At 35.4% G+C, this 21,627-nt stretch overlaps 1 protein-coding gene across 27 annotated transcripts in view; it reads right to left on the bottom strand.

The window, feature by feature from the left end:
- PCNX1 (pecanex 1) overlaps window positions 1-21,627 on the bottom strand; it is a 207,924-nt gene that overhangs the window by 94,368 nt on the left and 91,929 nt on the right. For 18 of the 27 annotated variants that reach the window (XR_245673.5, XR_007063992.1, XM_005267420.5 and 15 more), the window contains 4 exons: window positions 11,291-11,381; window positions 9,466-9,523; window positions 7,813-8,030; window positions 1,853-2,006 (listed from right to left, as the gene is read on the bottom strand). Coding sequence is in view for 25 of the 27 variants with exons in the window: in XM_005267420.5 (XP_005267477.1) it covers window positions 1,853-2,006; window positions 7,813-8,030; window positions 9,466-9,523; window positions 11,291-11,381 (521 nt within the window). In the remaining 2 variants the exon portion in view is untranslated. The remainder of the gene's footprint in view (window positions 1-1,852; window positions 2,007-7,812; window positions 8,031-9,465; window positions 9,524-11,290; window positions 11,382-21,627) is intronic. The other 9 variants (XM_005267422.5, XM_005267423.5, XM_047431122.1 and 6 more) reach the window with 2 other exon arrangements.

Raw genomic sequence — 21,627 nt, 5'->3', positions numbered from 1 at the left:
CTATTTAATAAATGGTGTTGGGAAAACTGGCTACCCATATGCAGAAAACTGAAACTGGACCCCTTCCTTACACCTTATACAAAAATTAACTCAAGATGGATTAAAGACTTAAATGTAAGACCTAAAACCATAAAAACCCTAGAAGAAAACCTAGGCAATACCATTCAGGACATAGGCATGGCCAAAGACTTCATGACTAAAACACCAAAGCAATGGCAACAAAAGCCAAAATAGACAAATGGGATCTAATTAAACTAAAGAGCTTCTGTACAGCAAAAGAAACTATTTTCAGAGTGAAGAGGCAACCTACAGAATGGGAGAAAATTTTTGCAATCTATCCATCTGACATCCAGAATCTACAAGGAACTTAAATTTACAAGAAAAAAACAAACAACCCCATCCAAAAGTGGGTGAAGGATATGAACAGACACTTCTCAAAAGACATTTATGTGGCCGACAAACATGAAAAAAAGCTCATCATTAATGGTCATTAGAGAAATGCAAATCAAAACCACAATGAGATACCATCTCAAGCCAGTTAGAACAGCAATCATTAAAGTCAGGAAACAACAGATGCTGGAGAGGATGTGGAGAAATAGGAACGCTTTTACACTGTTGGTGGGACTGTAAACTAGTTCAACCATTATGAAAGACAGTGTGGCGATTCCTCAAGGATCCAGAACCAGAAATACCATTTGACCTAGCAATCCCATTACTGGGTATATACCCAAAGGATTATAAATCATTCTGCTATAAAGACACATGCACACGTATGTTTATTGCAGCACTGTTCACAATAGCAAAGACTTGGAACCAACCCAAATGCCCATCAATGATAGACTGGATAAAGAAAATGTGGCACATATACAACATGGAATACTATGCAGCCATAAAAAAGGATGAGTTCATGTCCTTTGTGGGGACATGGATGAAGGTGGAAACCATCATCCTCAGAAAACTAACACAAGAACAGAAAACCAAACACTGCATGTTCTGACTCATAAGTGGGAGTTGAACAATGAGAACACATGGACACAAGGAGGGGAACACAAGGAGGGGGTCCGTCAGGGGGCGGAGGGTAGGGGAGGGATAGCATTAGGAGAAATACCTAATGTAGATGACGGGTTGATGGGTGCATGGTGGGATGCATGGTGGGATGGGTGGGATGCCACCATGGCATGTGTATACCTATGTAATAAATCTGCACATTCTGCACATGTATCCCAGAACTTAAAGTATAATAATAAAAAAAACTACTACTATTAAAAAAAAAAAGAATGCAAGTTCTTATTTTAACAAATACAGTTTTCTTTTAGGCCAGGCGCAGTGGCTCATGCCTGTAATCCCAGTACTTTGGGAAGCCAAGGCAGGCGGATCACGAGGTCAGGAGTTTGAGACCAGCCTGACCAACATGGTGAAACCCCGTCTCTACTAAAAATACGAAAATTAGCCAGCCATGGTGGCATGCGCCTGTAATCCCAGCTACTCAGGAGGCTGAGGCAGGAGAATCACTTGAACCTGGGAGGCGACGGTTGCAGTGAGCCAGATAGCATCATTGCACTGCAGCCTGGGCAACAGAGCAATACTCCATCTCCAAAAAACAAAATAAAACAAACAAAACAAACACAGTTTTCTTTTAATACAAAAAACTTGTTTTTAGGAAGTGCTAATTTACATACAATTATTTTTAAGGTTTATATCCCCCTTTTGCTCTCTACACAATCTTATGTAAACATGCAAGAAAAGTAAGCCTAAAAATAATTATCTTACTATAATTCAGTAATTGCTACAAAATCCTCTGCCTTTTAACACAAATATAATTCCGTAGCATGAAAAGAAGAGATGCTGGTACCTTAAGCAGTGAGTATTGACAGCTGGCTATGACGAGGCAGAACTGGAAGACCCAGATATCTCTGAAGAATCCTTGTATGAGAAGAATAGATCCCAAAAAGGCCACGAGAATAGCCAGGATGACAGCTAACACATTTTCCAGGATCTCACGATTTCTACGGACAGAAAAACTTATGGGTAAGTATATCTTAAGTATAAGAAATTAACCAAATGGAAAAAAGGGAAGGGAAGACATAAATATGAAGTTCATGGTATGCCAAGATGTCTTTTTGGTACTGAGTTTGAACAAGGTTTTAGATCATACTGAAAACAAACTAGTTTCATGTGGACATAACATGAATTCTTATATACAAATAAAACATGCTACAGTGAATTGTGGAGTTTCAATTACATAATATAGTTTTAAATTTCTATTTTAAAAATGTTACTCTCCTTAATATTTGCTTTTCTATTCTATTTGTTGCAAAATAGTTAACCAACTTGGATGGCAAATAAAATATGTATACAAAGAATCACATTATGTTTAAAAAACAAAATCTCAAAATAGTTTCTAGAAAATTAAATTTAAAACATTTGTTATATGGCAAAATAGTAACAAAATTCTGGCACTAATTGATTTCGCTTCCCCCATCTCTCAGTCATCTGAAAGAATTAGAAAACTCACTTACTAGAATTACTTAAATATGGGCTCTTACATATCTTGAAACTAAAGGTAGTGACAAACACCTCTGCTTCTATCAAAGTTGCTAAGACAATTCTATATTTATTAAATTGACATTGTAAGAGAAACAATATGATGCTCAAGATATACATATATATATATCAATGAAGATTATTTTTATTTCATACACACACATGAATCTATCTCATTACTTCTTGGGAAAATTTTATTCACAAAATCTTATACAAATACATCCTTTAGTATTTCCCTAAAATACTTCTAAATCATATTTTTAAAGACTATTAAAAATGAAAAAATGCTCAGTACATCTCATACATACAGAAAGCAGGACACAAAACCATGGGCATAGGAGGATATAAGTTCTGCTATTAAAAAATTAAACATATAGGTTAAAAAAGACAATATACCAAAAATGATATTACTAATAATGCTTCTCTCCATGGAAGAATTATGGTTTGCCTCTGTCTTCAAAACTTTGTACATATTTAAATTTTCTACAATAGGTAAGGAATTACTTTTATAATCATAAACTTAACAAATATATTAACCCAATTCCATATTTATCACAATCAACTGGGCCTAAAAATAAAATTCATAAACATCTTTGTACTTAATACATTTAATAGTTCTACCAGATAAAAAAGTTCAATAGTATTTCCAAACCAATAAATTACTGGCATTTCCATTTGATTTTAGGTGGTAGTTATGCAATTTCAGATTTGCTAAATCCAATGACCTCTTTTCAATCCTGGGCCTGCCTGAATAGTGCCTCCCTTGTCATTGAACATGTCTTGTCTTTGGATTTTTAAGGATTTTCAATTTTGATGAGTCCAATGTATCAAATTTTGTTTTAATGATCTTGTTTTTGGCATCAGAGCTAAGTAATTTTGCCTAATCCAAGTTCATAAAACTTTTCTCCTGTTTTCTTTTTTTTCTAGAAGTTTTGTTTTACGTTTCACATTTAAGCCTATGATACATTTTCATAATATGGCACAAGGTAAGGCTACAAGTTCTTTATTTTTGTTTTTGAAATGGGGTCTTGCTATGTTGCCCAGGCTGGCCTCAAACAATCGTCTCACCTCAGCCTCCTAAGCACACACCTCTGCGTCCATCTCTATTTTTTTGCATATGGAAATCCAATTGTTCCACCACCATTTGTTGAAAAGGCTATCCTTTCTCCATTTCATTCATCTGAATATTATTTTGATGCCATCTGGGCCTAGAGTTTTCTTTGTGGGAAAGTTTCTAAACTACAATTTCCACTTATTTAATAGATGTAAGACAATTAAGGTCATGTAGTTCTTTCAGAATGAAATTTCATAATTTATCTTTCAAGAAATTTGTCCATTTGTCCAATGTTGAACTTATTTGCATATAGCTGCTCATATCATTCTCTAATTATGCTTTTAATACCTGGAGAGTCTGTAGTGATATCATAACTCACATTCTTGATGTTGGTAATCTACGTCTTTCCTCTTCTTTTGTTTTTTTCTGATCAGGCTGGCTAAAGGTTTAGCCTTTAGCTATTTGTATCAATTGATACAACTGATGTTCTCAAACTTTTCATTTCCTTGATTTTCTTTATTATTTCTCTGTTTCCTCATTGAATTGTTTTGTTCCTTACTACTACCTTTCTTTTGTTTACTTGGGCTTATGTGCTCTTGTTCTTCTAGCAAGTGGAAGGTGAAGTCACTGATTTGAGACCTTTCTTTTCTAATCTAGGTGTTTAGTGCTATAAATTTTCCTAAGTACTGCAAGTTAGTGGCATTCCCAAAATTCAGATATGGTGTGTTTTCACTTTCATTTAGCCCAAAATACTAATTTCTCTCTTGACATCTTCTCTAATCCATGGGTTATTTAGAAGTGTTTAGTTTCCAAATATTTGGGAATTTTCCAAGGTTCTATTTGTTATTAATTTACCATTTAATTCACTATGTATGATTGGATAGTGGACCTTTTAAAATTTAATAACTCTCGTATTATGGCTCAAAATGTGAACTATCTTAGTAAATGTTCTGTGAGCACTTAGAAAAATGTATATTCTCTTGTTATGGATGCAGTGTTCCATAAATGCAACCAATTTAGGTTGGTTGCTAATACTGTTCAAGTTCACAACATCCTCACTGATTTTCTAAATAATTATCCTATCCATTATTTAAAGAGAAGTGCTGAAATCACCTATAACTGTGATTTGTCTATTTCTCCACTTCTATTAGCTTTTGCTTTATGAATTCTGAAGCTCTGTTTCAGGTGTACAAACATTTAGGACTGTTAAATCCTGTGGATTAATTGACTCCTTATCACTATGAAATGGGCTTCTTTATCCTTGGTAATATTCTTTGTTCTGAAGTCTACTTTACCTGACTTTAATACAGCCAGTACTATAAGCCTTTTGTTAATGTTAGCATGGTATATCTTTTTCCATCTTTTAACCTATTTGTTTTTATTTTATTTTGGTAGAAACTGGGTCTACGTTGCCCAGGCTGCTTTCGAAAATTGGGCCTCAAGAGATCCTCCCACCTCAGACTCCCAAAGTGCTGAGATCACAGGCATGAGCCACCACACTGTCTTCTGTTTTTATATTTAAAGTACCTTCCTTGTAGGCAGCTTGGAGTTGAGTGTTGTTCTTTTTTATCTAATCTGCCAATTTCTGACTTTTTCTGACTCTATCATCTTGTCATGTGTTTCCTATTTGTCTCATCTATTCTTTGATCTTTTTCCACCTTATTGATTAACAGTAATTTTTATAATCCATCTTATCTCCTTTTTGACATATTAGCTACAACTCTTTTGTTATTTTAGTGATTGCCTTACAGTAGGTTTTGGTAAGAATTTTTAAAAATATGTTTGTAGAGACAGAGTCTCACTAGGTTGCCAAGGCTGGCCTCAAACTCCTAGGCTCAAGTGATCCTCCTGCCTCTGCCTCCCAAAGTGCTGGGATTACCACGGCGTCCAGCCTAGGGTTTACAATACACATTTATGACAGTCTACCTTCAAAGTGATGATATATCACTTTACATATAAGAAACTTACAATAGTATGCTTTTATTTGTCCCCTCTGCCTTTATGCTATTATCATAAATTTTACTTTTACATGTTATAAACCACACGAAGCACTGTTATTTTCATTTAAACAGTTACCTCTTAAAGAGATTTAATTAATAAGAAAAAATATTTTACATTTATCCATATAGTGACTTACCATTTCCATTTATCTTTGTTCCTTTGGGTAGACTTATATTTCCATCTGAGATCACTTTCCTTCTGCCTGAAAGACATCCTCCAACATTTTTTGTAGTGTGGGTCTGCTCATAAGAATTCTTCCCATTTTTTTCTGATCTGAAGATGTCTTTATTTCACTTTGGTTTTTAAAAGGTATTTTTGCTATGTATAGAATTGTAGGTTGACAGGGTTTTTTTCTTTTCAGTACTTTAAAGATGCTCCTCTACTGTCTTTTCACTTCGTTATTTCCAACAATAAAAAGGATGTCTTCCTTATCCTTGCTCCTCTTTTTTTCTTTTGCAATTTTAACAATTTTATCACTGGTTTTGAGCAGTTGTGTCCCTTGGTGTAGTTTTATTCAAGCATTTTATGCTTGAGGTTCACTGGGCTTCCTGAATGTATATTCACAGTTTTCATCAAATTTGGAAAGTTCTCCACTCTTATTTCTTCAAAATCTTTTGTCTCCTTATTTCTTCAAAATCTTTTGTCTCCTTGTTTCCTCTTGTAGTTGTCCCACAGCTTTCTCTCATTTTGTTTTTATATTCTTTTCACTGGGGACAGTGGACTCTTCTGTTTCATTCTGGATAGTTTCCATTATTATGCCTTCGAGTGAGTTCAATAATCTTTTCTTCTACAAGGTGCAATCTACCATTAATCCCATCCAGTATATTTTTCGTCTCAGGGATTATAGTTTTCAACTCTCTAAGTTTGATTTGGGACTTTTAAAAGTATCTTCTATGTCCGTAGTTAACTTTTTAAACATAGGGAAAGCAGTTATAACTGTTTTAATGTCCTTGTCTGCTAATTCTAGTATCTATTTAAGCTACAGTTTGGTCTCAACTGATTATTCTTGTTAGAGGTCGTTTTCTCACTTCTTTGCACACTTGGTCATCTTTGACTGAATGCTAGACATTGTGAATCTTAACTTGTTGGGTGCTGGGTATTTCTGGATTTCCATAAATCTTCTTAGACTTTATGTTACTTGGAAACAGTTTGATCCCTTCAGGTCTTGGTTTTATTACTTGTTAGGTGGGTGTGAAGTAGTGCTCCTGCTAGGGGTAATTATTCCCCACTTTTAAATATCTTCCTGAGTATTCTACACAAGGCACCATAAAATATGAACCATAAATGTCTCCAATCTGGCTGGTAGGGACATGTACTATTCCCAGTGCTGTGTGATTGCCAGGAACTGTTCCTCTGTTCCTTTTCACATGGTTCTTTCCCTGGCCTCAAATAGTTTCCTCACATACAGGAACATATCCATACTCTGCCAAACAGTCAAGGTGACTCAATGCAGATCTCTAAGGTTCTCTCTCTAAGCAGCTCTCTCCTCTCTAACAGTCTGTCCTGTGGACTCTAACTGCCATAGCCTCCCTGGACTCTCAGTTCTATCTCCTTAACTCAGGAAGTTGGCTGGACTCTACTTCAGTTCTCCCTCCCTGTCTTGCAGCCTAGAAACTCTCTCAAAGCATTAAGCTGGGGCAATTGGAGGGCTCATGTTATTTGTTGTCATCTCTCAGGAATCACTGTCCTTTTTTCCTCATCTCCAATGTCTTGAAAACCACTGTTTCACGTACTTTGTCTATTTTTGGTTGTTTCACATGAGATGATAAATCCAATCCTGTTACTCCATGTTGACTGGAAACAGCTGTTGGTCACCAAGTTTGTGTTTGCCATTAAGAGAGTAGTGTTAAGAACCAGGGAAACAGAAGTTTCCTCTTATAACTGTTATATAGAACTTTGCATCATATTACCTATAACTTAAAGATCATCAAAACTCATATTCTTTGGCTTTTGACTAGCAGTTGTATGAGTCTCACTGATTAACAAAACTAATTTCTTTGTAAAAGATATTGAAGTTGCAACCAAAACATTTTTAATGGATTTAAGATAGTCACTGTTTAGAAACCCATTACCTTAAGTTTTATATCCAGAGGACAAAACCAGAAAACATTTCCCAACATGATAACCAGGTAAAAACCTCAGTGGGTAATTAAAGACACTTCATCTTAAAAATAAAATCCACACGTATCATTAATATCACACTATAATCTCACCTATCAAACAGGGCCAAAAGTGTGAGTCTGTCAAAGTTAATGCCAATCCACAGCTGGGGTAGGATCCAAAAGCGATAATAGTGTTTAACCTTTTGGGCAGCTTCTTCTGTTGGGCCGTAAGTAGCTGCCAAGTCAGGGCTTAGATCAATGTCCTGTTGCTCCAACAAATCTGTATCAATGGTCAATAGTCTATTCAATCGAATCTGTGGGAGAGAGAGCTAAAAGAAAGTCAGCATTGAAAGGCTTAAAATATCTTCAATATTTATTTAATATGTTTATTCAAAATAAAATATCTTCATAATTCAACAGTTACTCAATTAGCTTATCAGTTATCTAAGCCCTTTAATTTTCTTCTCTCATACACTTTTTTTTTTTTTTTTTTTTGAGACAGAGTCTTGTCTGAAGTACAGTGGTGCAATCTCGGCTCACTGCAACCTCTGCCTCCCCGGTTCAAGCAATTCTCTGCCTCAGCCTCCCAAGCAGCTGGGATTACAGGCACCTGCCACCATGCCCGGCTAATTCTTTTTCTATTTTTTGTAGAGACGGGATTTTACCATCTTGGCCAGGCTGGTCTTGAACTCTTGACCTCGTGATCCACCCGCCTCGGCCTCTCAAAGTGCTGGGATTACAGGCAGGAGCCACTGCGCCCAGCCTACTCTTTATGAATATGTTATGATTACCAGAAACTATAGAAGGTGACAATAGGAAGTGAACTAAAACAAAGTTAATTAATCAATAAACCTATTGTAAATAATTGACTAGAAAAGTGTCTAAAATCTTAAGATTTTTCTCAGGGAATGCTTAAGAAAAAACCTTAAGATTTTATAACTGTATAGCTAGCGAATCTACTAAAACCACTTACTGTGAATCGTTAGTGGCTTCTCTTCTCACATTTATAGTCTTTTCTCCTTAAGCTTTGAACCTCATTATCAGTGTTAAATCTGAGCCCCACTGCATTGGATCTGATGGCAGCAACTCTCATTTCTTCCCACAGTCTCTTATCATTGTTGTTACTATATTTCCAAATCCCTCACCCCTGTTTGTTTGTTTGTTTGTTTGTTTTGGCAAGCTGCTCACCTGAGGCTATACAAATTACTATACTATATTTAACTTCAACTCATCCATCCATCAGTTTACCAGTTTTCTTTTCCTCAGAAAGCATCAAAAGTTGACTGTATTTGGCATAGTACTAGGCAGCATTTTGCTATCTCAAGGTTCCCATACCATTTAAAAGTAGAAAACAATAAAACAATCATCTTCCCATGTTTGCTTTCCTATGCAGTTTCCAGGAATACACTATAGCCAAAAAGTAGGGAGGGTTTTACTTTTCAAACACATATCTGGGTATAGTTGAGAAAATTTACTTCCTATATATAACACAGCCATTTCTATCTCTAAGCATTGACAAATACTTTCCAAAACACTTTTTAAAATACTCTATGCCAGGGTTTCTTAACCTTGTACTTTTGTTTCTTATCAAAGGACTTAGAAAAAGAGAGCCACTGGAGGGCAGCAAAGTGATTTTGCCATAGTTTTCAAAAAATTTTTGTGTAACTTCATCAATTTTTATGGCTTTTATAGCTATCTATGTAAATACATATTTCAGATTTAATCTGAAAATTTATCATGTTGTAAAAATAAAGAAAAACCTACCACATCATGTGGATAAAATCGAACTGAGGTAGAACTGGATACATGAGAATCTGTGTCACTAAAATAAAATAAAAAATAGGGAACAGTTTGTCAAGCAGAAAGAAAAATATATCCTTTAACATTCAGATGAGATTCACATATCTTCACTTTTCCATGTTAACTTCAAAATGCAAAATAGCATTTTCCTAGAGTTGTGATAAGCACATAGACTCTGGGTCAGTGACTACATTCAAATCTCTTCCACTGAATGAGATCTTGGACAAGTTACCTACCCTCTTCATACTTGCGTTTCCTCTTCAGTAACATATGACAATAGTATCTGTATCACAAGGTTCTTGTGAAAGTGTTTAAATCAGATAATGCAAAGAAAGCAATAAACATATTGCCAGGAATCAGTAAAGACACAATAAACTTAAGCTATAATGTAATAACCTACAACATAAGTCAGTTTCCACAGTTCAGTCATGTTTGGATTTCAAAACTTGAGGCTTTACCACATTTATAGTGTAAGGAATTGTTCTCTTGAACTACATTAAACATGGTAACAGCATTTCTATCCCTCCCTCCTCCTACTGTTTCCATTGTTACAGAATCAGGGTAACAGTACAATTTAATAATTTTTTGAGAGGGTGAATTCTGAAACTAGACCAAAGGAGCTTAAAGAGCATGGTTATCTATATGTTCTACTTTTTCAGCATGTGGAGCTAAATGACTGCAAGATTTTATTGCTTTAAATGGTCCCTCAAAACAAAAAAATAAGTAAACAGCCCACAGATGTCTAACATTTAAACAGATGTGATCCATCATTAAACAGAAGTCCTAAAATAAGAATCAGTAACTCTTGAGGGGAAAGAAAACTAATTAATCAAGAATAGGCTTCAAAGTGCAATTTGAATAAATAAGCAATAAGATCAAAATTTTAGAAAACAAAAATGTTAACACCTTCTAAAAATATAATTGATGTTATATGATCAAGATTTCTAATTTATTTGCTCTTCTCCTGACTTCATTATCTTACAAATTCCTTCAGATGGGGGGATAAAAGAAGCTAAAGGTAACGTATGAGACATATTTTAAGAAATACTTCCTTAAAGCCAGTAAAAGAAATTTTAAACAAAATGAAAGTTGATTATTTAAAAAGGTACTTGACCAAACACTTAGAAGGAAATAAAATTTTAAAATTACATAAAGAAAGAGAACCAATAGGTTTGAACTTAGTTATGTAAGAACTTACATGAAGAGTAAGTCCTGATTAGCTTTTATACATTATACAATATATAGAGAAAATGAAATACAATTAAATTTGACACTGTGGGAAAACACTGTGCCACTGTAAGATCTTCGGGATATCTTGATTTAGTTTTTAAAACACAGAATAGCTTTTGTTTTAAAAACAATACTTTCTTTTTTCCATAGCAAAAAAAATTCTACCTTAAGTTTTTAGAAACAAATGCACTATGACAAATTATTAGAGTAAATATAAAGATGTTTTCAAAATAACTTTTATATCTGACCTGGTGACTACAATTAACAACATACTGTATACTTGAAAATCACTAAGAGAGTAGATTTAAGTGTCCTCACCGCAAACAAGATTATAAGTATGTGAGATAATACATGTTAATTTTAGCTCAATTAAGCCAATGTATATGATATTTCAAAACATCAGGTTGTATGCCATAAATATTTATGATTTTTATTTGTCAATTAACAACATTAAATTATAAAAAACAAAAAAATTAACTTTTATAGTTCTAGGCTTAAAAACATTAAATATGGCAAACATATGAAAGTACACACACTCCTAATATGACTTCACACATACCAGATATTGGATGCTCTTCTTGCTGCTGGTTCAAAATTCACAAGTGACATATCACAGCCACCAGTCTCATACAGCGTAGAAGAGAACTTACCTAGCAAATAAATGATTATTTTAAAAAGCCATTAGAATACTCAGAATTTTTCCTTCATGATATACTAAATTTCGTAAGTTTCTACATCTTAAGAAAATACACCATAACCTTTAAAAAAAATTTTTTTAAAACAATGATCTGCATGTAATTCAGCAAGATGTGAGTTGAAAAGGAACGTTGGACAGTAGGGTAAAACATCAACATACATAATCAGGTATTAAAAGGAAGGGACTTAAGTCAGCTTTGCAATACCAATCTCTTTTTTCTTTTTCCCACGGCACATTCTCTATTCAGGTGATCATATGAATGAATTTAATGTTTAAAAATCACCTGACAACTACTTGCAGGGGGTGAGTACCCATTTGCAAAGCTTCTTAAATTTGGAATAGCTCAAACTACAAGCCCACAAAATCATGTGACTGCATTCTGAGCTGTGTTTCTTAAGAAAAGTGTCCAAGTGTATCTAAGAAAGGTCAGTGAATGGAAAGAGCTAGTATTGTTGGTGATAATTAAATTATATTATTTAATGAACATTATTTGTTGTATGTTTCTACCACAAGAGCGCTATGAAAAATTTAGAAACAGCAATTGCTACAGCCAAATATCACTATGAAACTGATAAAAGGTTTAGAAATCATATTGGTTGCAAATGTTGCAAATGAATACAGATTTTTTTAATTCTCTTAAGATGAACTTTATAATATAAAATGATTTCTAATAATGAAATTTTAAAACTCTACATACTGCCTGAGATGTATTCTTCCCCTTTGAGGATCTATGGTAGCCATATCGGTGATGAAAAGGGAGCATAAATTAATTAATATAAATTTCCACGAAGGCAATGAAATGAGGTATACAACTCTGCAACCATTTGGTCTAGTCCAGGTTGCTTTTTGAGCATTTATGAGGTTTTTATTAGCTGGAATTAAAGAGGTTAAAAACAGGAATCCCTTTTTTTTTTTTTTTTTTTTTTTTTTTGAGACAGAGTCTCGCTCTGTCACCCAGGCTGGAGTGCAGTGGCGCAATCTCGGCTCACTGCAAGCTCTGCCTCCCGGGTTCACACCATTCTCCTGCCTCAGCCTCCCGAGTAGCTGGGACTACAGGCGCCCGCCACCACGCCCGGCTAATTTTTCGTATTTTTAGTAGAGACAGGTTTTCACCGTGTTAGCCAGGATGGTCTTGATCTCCTGACCTCATGATCCACCTGCCTCAGCCTCCCAAAGTACTAGGATTACAGGCGTGAGCCACTGCGCCCGGCCAAAACAGGAATCTTAAAGGTCAATGTTGACTTGATGGTAAGGCTAAAAGTCAGATTTTCCCATGCCTACAATGCAGAGTGTGCAATAAGGGCTTTTTATTTAAGTGAAATACTTGAAAAAATGCTAATAAAAGGACTCCATAATGTACTAATATGACTAAGAGTTTACAGAACATCTCAAGCATTACTTCATTCTTTAAAACGACTAGAACCAGGAAAAAAACAACAATTTGAATTATTTAAGTACATTCTATGGATCATAAAAGTTATGCTGTTTTCTGTAGCCACATTTTTTTTTGTCGAATAATATACTCCTAAGTTAGGGAAAAAAAGGTTTTCTGTGAAATGCTCAGGTCATTTGCTGTCTTTTTTCAAGGTTATTCAGCATGTAAATTATTTAAGACACTCCCCACCCCCATCTTTTAGTCATAAGTCATTCATCCTTAGCACCTCTAATAGAAACTGGATTAATGAGCTAAAATGAAATGATACAAGCCGTCAACTTGGCTACTTCATAGATGTATCACTGAAAGTTTTTTTAAAGTGGTAGGGTGAATTACAGAAGTTGCTACCGAAAAAAAAATAAAAAATACCGGCTCACTTAAAATTAAAAAAATTTTAATTGCAGTTTTTAATGCTCTGTTCTGTATTCATTTATTGGATAATCAATGATTAGTGCTGCTATCATAATTAAACTTAGATTAAGAGAAAAAAGAAATATCTGCTCAAAATCATGGATTACATAAATGCAGAATTATTGTTAACTACATTAAATGACTAAATCATGGATTAACAAAGAGCAAAGAGGGCTTGGTTACTGCATATGAAACTCAGTAAGAACAGAATGCATAAATGTATTGTCATAACATAATTTATACATATTTTAGAAATAAGTTAATTCTGTATTCAATAGAACTTAAATTGTTGCAGTATTTCTCAGCATTCAAGCTTTCCAAAGGATTTTTATTAATATATAAGTTCTGTTCTTGGTATATTAAAAATAATATGTATCTGTGACAAAATCAACTAAAGATATTATCTTTGTAATTTTCAAATGAAACAGTAAAAGAATATGATGTCATTATACTACCATGTTGTCTTTTATGTATAAATATCTAATATTAAATTTACATAGAAATAGTTGCATTTTAAATAAATAAACATAAAGAATGCAAAAAAAAAAGCTTTTCTAAACAGACAGTTGGAAAAATTGAGTAGTTCTATTACTACCTGAATTTACAACTCTGAATGATTCTATCCAAATTACTAACAAGTAATAAAATCTAAAAATGTAAGCAGAAGCATAAATATGTCTAAAAGAGAGGCTATGATTTTAACAGAAGTACATGACTTCAACAGTGCTTTTCTTTTTTTCCTTAAGAGGCTTTTGTCTATTAAGCTTCAGAAGCATGTTTAGGTTCTTAAAAATACGCATGGCATTTGTCAGAACAAACTAACACTGTAATAAGGCCTCATGGTGTAGTCCCAACTTCACTCCAAAAGAACAAGTCTATGTACTTTAGAAGTACCAAATTTTACTCTGAAGATAAACACACCAGAAAAAGAAATTACTAAATGTAATTTAATGTGCTAATGTATCCTACTGAAGGCAGCTTAAAAAATAACCAACCAGAAATAAATATATATTACTATTGGTTTATGAAGATTACGTTTGTACAAGTTTTCTTGGCATACACAGCAATTTTACTATTTCTTTTGAGATTAAAACCATCATATTTAAACTTTAGATCTGAAGTAAAATATGCCGTTACAATACCCCTATTTTAATATTATTCTGCCTTAAGAAAAATACTTCAATACTAATTTTTTCTAATAAACAGAGTAGAAAGCAGAGCAAAGAAATATGTCCTTCTCACATGAATTTGGATTATAAACTAAGCCATCTCATCATGATTCAACTGTGACCAATTAATTATACCTGATAGAATGCCTCTGTCATGACTTAAGGAGAAAAAAAAATCAGTTTCTAACAAAATAAACACGATTAGAAACTGGAATTTCAGACTTGTAAAAATTATACTGGCCAAGGGACTGCATCTCTAAAGACACATACACAAAAAGCTGATATGCCAGGCGCAGTAGCTCATGCCAGTAAATCTCAGCATTTTGGGAGGCAAAGTGGGAGGACTGCTTGAGCCCAGGAGTTCAAGACAAGCCCAGGCAACATAGTGAGACCTCATCTCTACACACACACACACACACACACACACACACACACACACACACACACACACACACACACACACACACAGACACACACACGTACTAGCTGGGTGTGGTGGCATGTGCCCATGGGCCTAGCTACTTGGGAGGTTGAGGTAGGAGGATCACTTAAGCCTAGGAGGTTGCGGCTGCAGCGAACTGTGTTCATGCCACCGCCCTCCAGCCTGGGCAAGAGAGTGAGACCCTGTCTCAAAAAAAAAAAAAAAAAAAGTTAAGATACCTAGTATTTCTTAGCAGTCTTATTGAATACTCAATAGTGACTGTTATTGTTCATAAAATTTGTTAATTACACACAACCATTCTTTTGAAGTAATATTTCAAAGTAACAACTATAGGTCAATGAATAAGTGATGAGCAACAGGAAGATGAGTAAAACTGGATACTCACTTAACACCAAGGATACTTGAAGCATTTGCCTAGAGCCATGAATGGTGCAGCAGGCAAATTCTGATAAACATTCACAAGACACTGATAAAAGACATGGGAAATGAATGGGATTCTCTAACTTACCCTATCAGTAAAAATCCTCACCATACAAAACGAAGTTGAGTACATCAAGAATTTTAAGAACAGTACTCACCTAAGAAACTCCAATTGCATTCCCCACCCCCCCTTTTTTTTTTTTAGACAGAGACTCACTCTGTCACCCAGGCTGGAGTGCAATGGCACAATCATAGCTCACTGCAATCTCAAACTCCTAGGTTCCAGTGATCCTCCCACCTCAGCTTCCTGAGTAGCTGGGGCTGCAGGCACACGCCACAGTGCCTGGCTTACTTTTTAAAACTTTTTTGTAGAGATGGGGGTCTTGCTATGCTGCCCAGGCTGGTCTCGAATTCCTGGGCCTAAGTGATACCTCCTGCCTCAGCCTCCCAACGTGCTGGAATTACAGGTGTTAGCCACCACGCCCAGCCTGTTGCATTCTTGACATCACTCATTTTTCTAAAGTTACCTATATGTATCTTGGAAGGAGGTGGTTACTAGAACAACAAATCATCCATAGTGTTTTTCTAATCTTCCAAGTACCAACAACAAAAGAGGTCTCTTAAATTTCTTGGATAATTTTCTTCTTTAACCACCTACCTCCCCCAACCTTCCCTTCATTCTGTGTCCTCCAAGCCTGATGCACTGTCTACACTGACTTCTCTTTTTTTAAGTATTACTCATAGGGCAGAGAGGGGCTATAAAAACAAAGAGAGATATATGGGCAGTAAATGTATAAAGTGAGTTTTTAAAAGACATTTGGGGGAACATATACATTCTATATGACTGAAGTACTCAATAATAGAAATGTTATTCAAGAAATAATCTGATGGAGATAGCACTGTGTTCATAATGCAATCTCAATGAATATATTATACTTTTAAAGAGAAGGCCTTTAAGATCAATTCTAATTTCTTGGATAGCACCCCCCTTATAATCATAAGTGGTGACTCAGTTTTTACCCACACAGAAATTACTCACTATATTGCTGCTTACTGGTTAATGCAACGGTCCCCAACCTTTCTGGCCCCCAACCTTTCTGGCATAAGGGACCAGTTTCATGGAAGATAACTTTCCTATGGATCCAGGGGATTGGAGGACGGTTTCAGGATGAAACTGTTCCACCTCAGATCATCAGGCATTGGATTCTCATAAGGAGTGGGCAACCTAGATCCCTTGCATGTGCAGTTTACAATAGGGTTCATGCTCCTATGAAAACTGAATGCTGCCACTGACCTGACAGGAAGCGGAGCTCAGGCAGAAATGCTCGCTCCGCACACCCTGCTCACCTCCTGCTGTGCAGCCCTGTTCCTAACAGGCCGCAGATCCATGCCAGTCCATGGCCTGGGAGTTGGGGACCCCTGGGTTAATGGACTTGTTTCTCCCTAGATTAGGGGAGAAATAAAAAGGTCAGAAAACTTTTCCTGTGAAGGGCCAGATAATACATACTTTAGGCTTCATGGGCCAGATAACCTCTGTTGCAACAATTCAAGTCTACAACTGTAACATGAAAGCAGGCATAAGACAATACAGAACATAAACACAAATTTTATTTATTTACAAAAACAGGTAGGTATAGAGCTGGACTTAGCCCACAGGCGGTGGTTTACTAACACCTGTCCTAGACCAAGAATCTTAGGCTCCAAAAACTTCTTTAATCCTCATGATACAATGGAAATCAGGTCACTATGTCCTTGTAACTTCAAGTTTCAATATTTAGAACAAGTCTTTTTTCTTAGTATGTGCAATGCTGTTCTAGCTTTTTAAATCAGAAGGATAAGGAAAAGGTAGGTATAAGAAGAAAGTCTGGTTTAGAAGACAGCTTTGGGGACTGGTAAGGAAAGACAGATATCTCTATTGCTTGGCAACTATAAGTGAGATTTACATACTGATATATTTTACTGACATGGCTATCTGATTATCTAGTTCTGAGTTAATAAAACATGCCTTAATTAATTGTTAAAAACTCCACTCCTGCTTGCTAATCCCCAAATCAGCTGAACTTTCCAAAAGTGAATGTACAAGTTCATATTTTGCTGTGATTTCATTATCCACTCACATTTTATTTCAAAAAGACAAGTTCTTCTTACTTGGGTAAAATAATCTATAATAACGACATTGATGACATTAAGACTGGTCAGGTAAACAAAAAGACAAGCCACAGAATGGGAGAAAATATTTGTAATTTGTATCTGACAAATAAGTTGTATTTAAAATATCAAAAGAACTCATACCTCAACAGTTAGAAGACCAACAACCCAGGCTGGGCGCAGTGGCTCATGCCCGTAATCCCAGCGCTTTGGGGGGCCGAGGCGGGCAGATCACCTGACGTCAGGAGTTCGAGACCAGTCTGACCAACATGGCAAAACCCCGTCTCTACTAAAAATACAAAAATAAAAAAATAGCTGGGCACGGTGGCACGCACCTGTAATCCCAGCTACTTGCGGGGCTGAGGTAGGAGAATCGCTTGAACCCAGGAGGCAGAGGTAGCAGAGAGCTGAGATTGCATCACTGCACTCCAGGCTGGACAACAAGAGTGAGACTCTGTCTCAAAAAAAAAAAAAAAAAAAAGAAGACAACCAACAACCCGATTTTTAAAATGAGTAAATTTCTGGACACACTTCACAAAAGAAGATATATATGTATGTGGCCAATAAGCACATCAAAAGATGCTTACTATCTTTAGTCATAAGAGAAATTCAAATTTAAACCACAATGAGTTACCATTCTATACCCATTATGTCTACAATTCTAAAGGCCAACAAAAGCAAATGTTGGCAAGAAAGGGAACTACTGGAATTTGGTGGTGGGGATGTAGAACTCTTTTCAAAAAGACAGTTCAGAAATTTTATTCACAACAGCCAAAAACGGGAAACAACACAACCATCGCCAGGTGAACAGATAAGCAATATACAGCCTGCTCATACAATGGAATTCTCAGCAGTAAGAAAGAACAAACTACTCACACATGCAAGCAGTATGATGAAATCTCAAAAAGCATTACACTACAGGAAAAGTACATACAAAAGGCTGTATACTATATGACTCCATTTATATCAACTGCTAGAAGAGGGAAATCATAATGATAGAAAGCAGATTAGTGGTTGTCTATGACCAGAGGCAGCAGAGAGATGGACTGCAACAAGGCACAGAGAATTTTTTGAAGGTGACAGAAACACTCGCATCTTGATTAAGGTATCTGACGGGTATACACATCTGTTAAAACTCCTTGAATTGTATACATTTAACAGATGCCATTTATTGTGCCTAAATTATATATCCATAAAATTGATGAAGAAACAAGAAAATAAAGACTGACCAGGTAAGAGTCTGATGAGCATGTAGCAGCAAACAGTCAGTGAAATTCCTACCAGATACTAAGATTTGGGGGAATTACATTGGTATTTGCCGTTCTGTTTCATGGTTCCATTTAAAAATTATTACTCATCAGAAAATTAAAAAGTAGTATATAAGAAGAAAGTTCATTACTACCCAAAGACAGCCACTGCCAAGAGTATTTTCTGTGTTCCTCTGAACGGAATCTTCCCCTCACTGAATTTCTGCTGGGCTTCTGTCCACCTAGTTAGAGACATTTTTCAGCCTCTCCCACGACGAGAAGTTGTCACATGATTATGTATGGCCAATGAAAGGTGGGAGAAAACGAAAGGCATGTTTTCCAAATCTGAATCAGGAAGATAAAGGCTAGATGTCCTTGACCTTTTCTCCTCATTCCTGTTTGCTGGAAAATGTCAACGACTACAGCAGGCACTTAGGACAAGGCAAGAAAGCCACATGTGAAAGATAACATCATTCATCCATCATGACAGAAATAGATCCCATTAGACTCCCAATGGTTCTCATGAGAGAAATAGAAACTTCTCTTTCATTTCAATGATTTTGGAAGGGTCTCTCCTTTAAAGAATCTAGCATATATTCCAACTAATGCATATACTAACCAGCTTTAATTTAGAATCTTAAGAATGATTAATGTTAGAAAGCAGATAATCTAGTCTAGTGATTCAATGAATTCTTTACAACATACTAGCAAGAGACAAATTAAATATCTCAACCTGTCCCTGTAAGTTTCCGTAAAATTCCTAGAGCTGTTCAGGCACCCAAAACTATTTGAAATAATATTCTAGTAGTCTTCCTACAATAACAGTGATAAACTTCTGAGCATTATCCAGGGGATGAAAATAAGAGTAGATAAAATTCATCTAGATTTACTTTTAACTTGTAATATTTGTGGCGATCCTCCCAAACTCTACCAGATAAAGTATAAACTAGAGCTTTCCATAAAGCCATTAACAGTATATATCAAAGCCCCAAAAATGTATATTCCCCTTGACCGATAATTCCATTTCAACATTATTTACCCTAAGAAAAAAATCACAGCTGCTGTACACTAAAGCTTATGTAATGGACATTCAGCACAGTGTTCACTGCAATAGGAAATATCAGGAAACAGTGTGAAGACTAACAATGGGGTTAATTGATTAAATAATGATATAATATTTTATCAATAATGACAAAGATGATTATATAACAAGTTTACAATTGTCGAGCACTGTTCTAATTGTATGCTTAATAAATATAATCCTGACAATAAACCTATGAAGTAGCCATTATTTTTGCCATCCTTTGATAACTGAGGAAACTGAGGCTTAAGACAAGACAATAACTTTCCCAAGATCGCATAGTTAATAACTGGTAGAGCAAAGATTTGAAGCCAAGAAGTTTGGCTCCAGAGTCCACTATATTGTACTGCCTTTCACATACATCTAAGTGACAAAACATTATGCAGCCACTTAAAAACAAATCAAAGAGGCCGGGCATGGTGGCTCATGCCTATAATCCCAGCACTTTGGGAGGCCGAGGTGGGTGGATCACCTGAGGTCAGGAGCTCGAGACCAGCCTGGCCAACATGGCAAAACCCCATCTCTACTAAAAATACAAAATTAGCCAGGCATGGTGGCACATGCCTATAATCCCAGCTACTCGGGAGGCTAAGGCAGCAAAATCGCTTGAACCCAGGAGGCGGAGGTTGCAGTGAGCCAAGATTGCACCACTGCACTCCAGCCTGGGCGACAAAGTGAGACTCCGTCAAAAAAAAAAAAAAAAAAAATCAAGGGACAGCTAATAACATGAGTAAATGTTCAGACTGCTAAGTGAAAAAAGCAAGATACAAAACTCAAACAGTAGCACAAAAGTCACGACATGATCCTAACTCTATTTTTTTAAGTGCATATACACATGTACATTTTAAAAGACTGGAAGGAATAAATTACAACATACTAATAGTGGATATCTCTTAGTGATGAGATTGTAGATGACTTAATTTTCTTCATGGTATTTTCCAGTATTTGTCAACTTGTATTTCTGTTGTAAGGATGGGAAAAGCACATTCTACTTTTACCAAAACGAAGTAGAATATAGCCCTTAAACCTCTTAATACTTCTTCTTTTGAAATATAATGAAGTATTTTTATTGTTTTGATAAAAATAAACATTTTACTTTCATTTATATATACTTTGTTGCCCCTCACCCCCCAAAAATGATCAAAGAATAGAATTTATTATTTTTTTGTACTCAAAACAATAATAAAGGACAAAATCAAGGTTGCTGCAAAAGGATGTAACTTTTTTGTTCAGATGAATGAAAATAATCTACCATAACATAAGGAACTGACATATTAACTCTAAGATCCCTTACAGTCCTCTGACTCTGTGTTAATAGTAACAAGGACAAGTACTAATAGCCCAAAATGCTAGAGTAGTATATACAATCTTTTTTAAAACACCAAGACTAACTCTAATAAAAGTCACTAAAAGTACTGTTGATCACCTGAGTCTCTGCTTTTTAAAGTAGAAAATCTAAAAGCTTCCAAATTATATTTCTGCTATGAACTGCTTAATAGGAAGAGCAATGTTGCCAGGTTTCCTTCAATAATTCTCCTACAGCCAACTACATTTTCAAGTTAACAAGCTCTAGAATAAAGCAGATTACCTCAAAGAATACCTCCTTTGTCAATCCTTACACAGTAATAAAACAAAAGAAAACCTAAGGAAAATCAATTCAAGCATCACTTTTTAAAAATCAGATACATTAAGAAAGTCTTAATCAGAGAAATACTACTCATGATATATACATGCTTTGTAATTACGTCTTGATAAATATAGAACTCTTGTCCTCATTTCTTGTCAACATTGTAACAGTAATTTTTAAATTTTTCACATAAAGACAAAATAATAGCTTCATATACAC

The sequence above is a fragment of the Homo sapiens genome, chromosome 14 (genome assembly GCF_000001405.40).
Source record: "Homo sapiens chromosome 14, GRCh38.p14 Primary Assembly".
NCBI classification, from domain to species: domain Eukaryota; kingdom Metazoa; phylum Chordata; class Mammalia; order Primates; family Hominidae; genus Homo; species Homo sapiens.
This window is presented reverse-complemented; position numbering and strand designations above follow the sequence as displayed.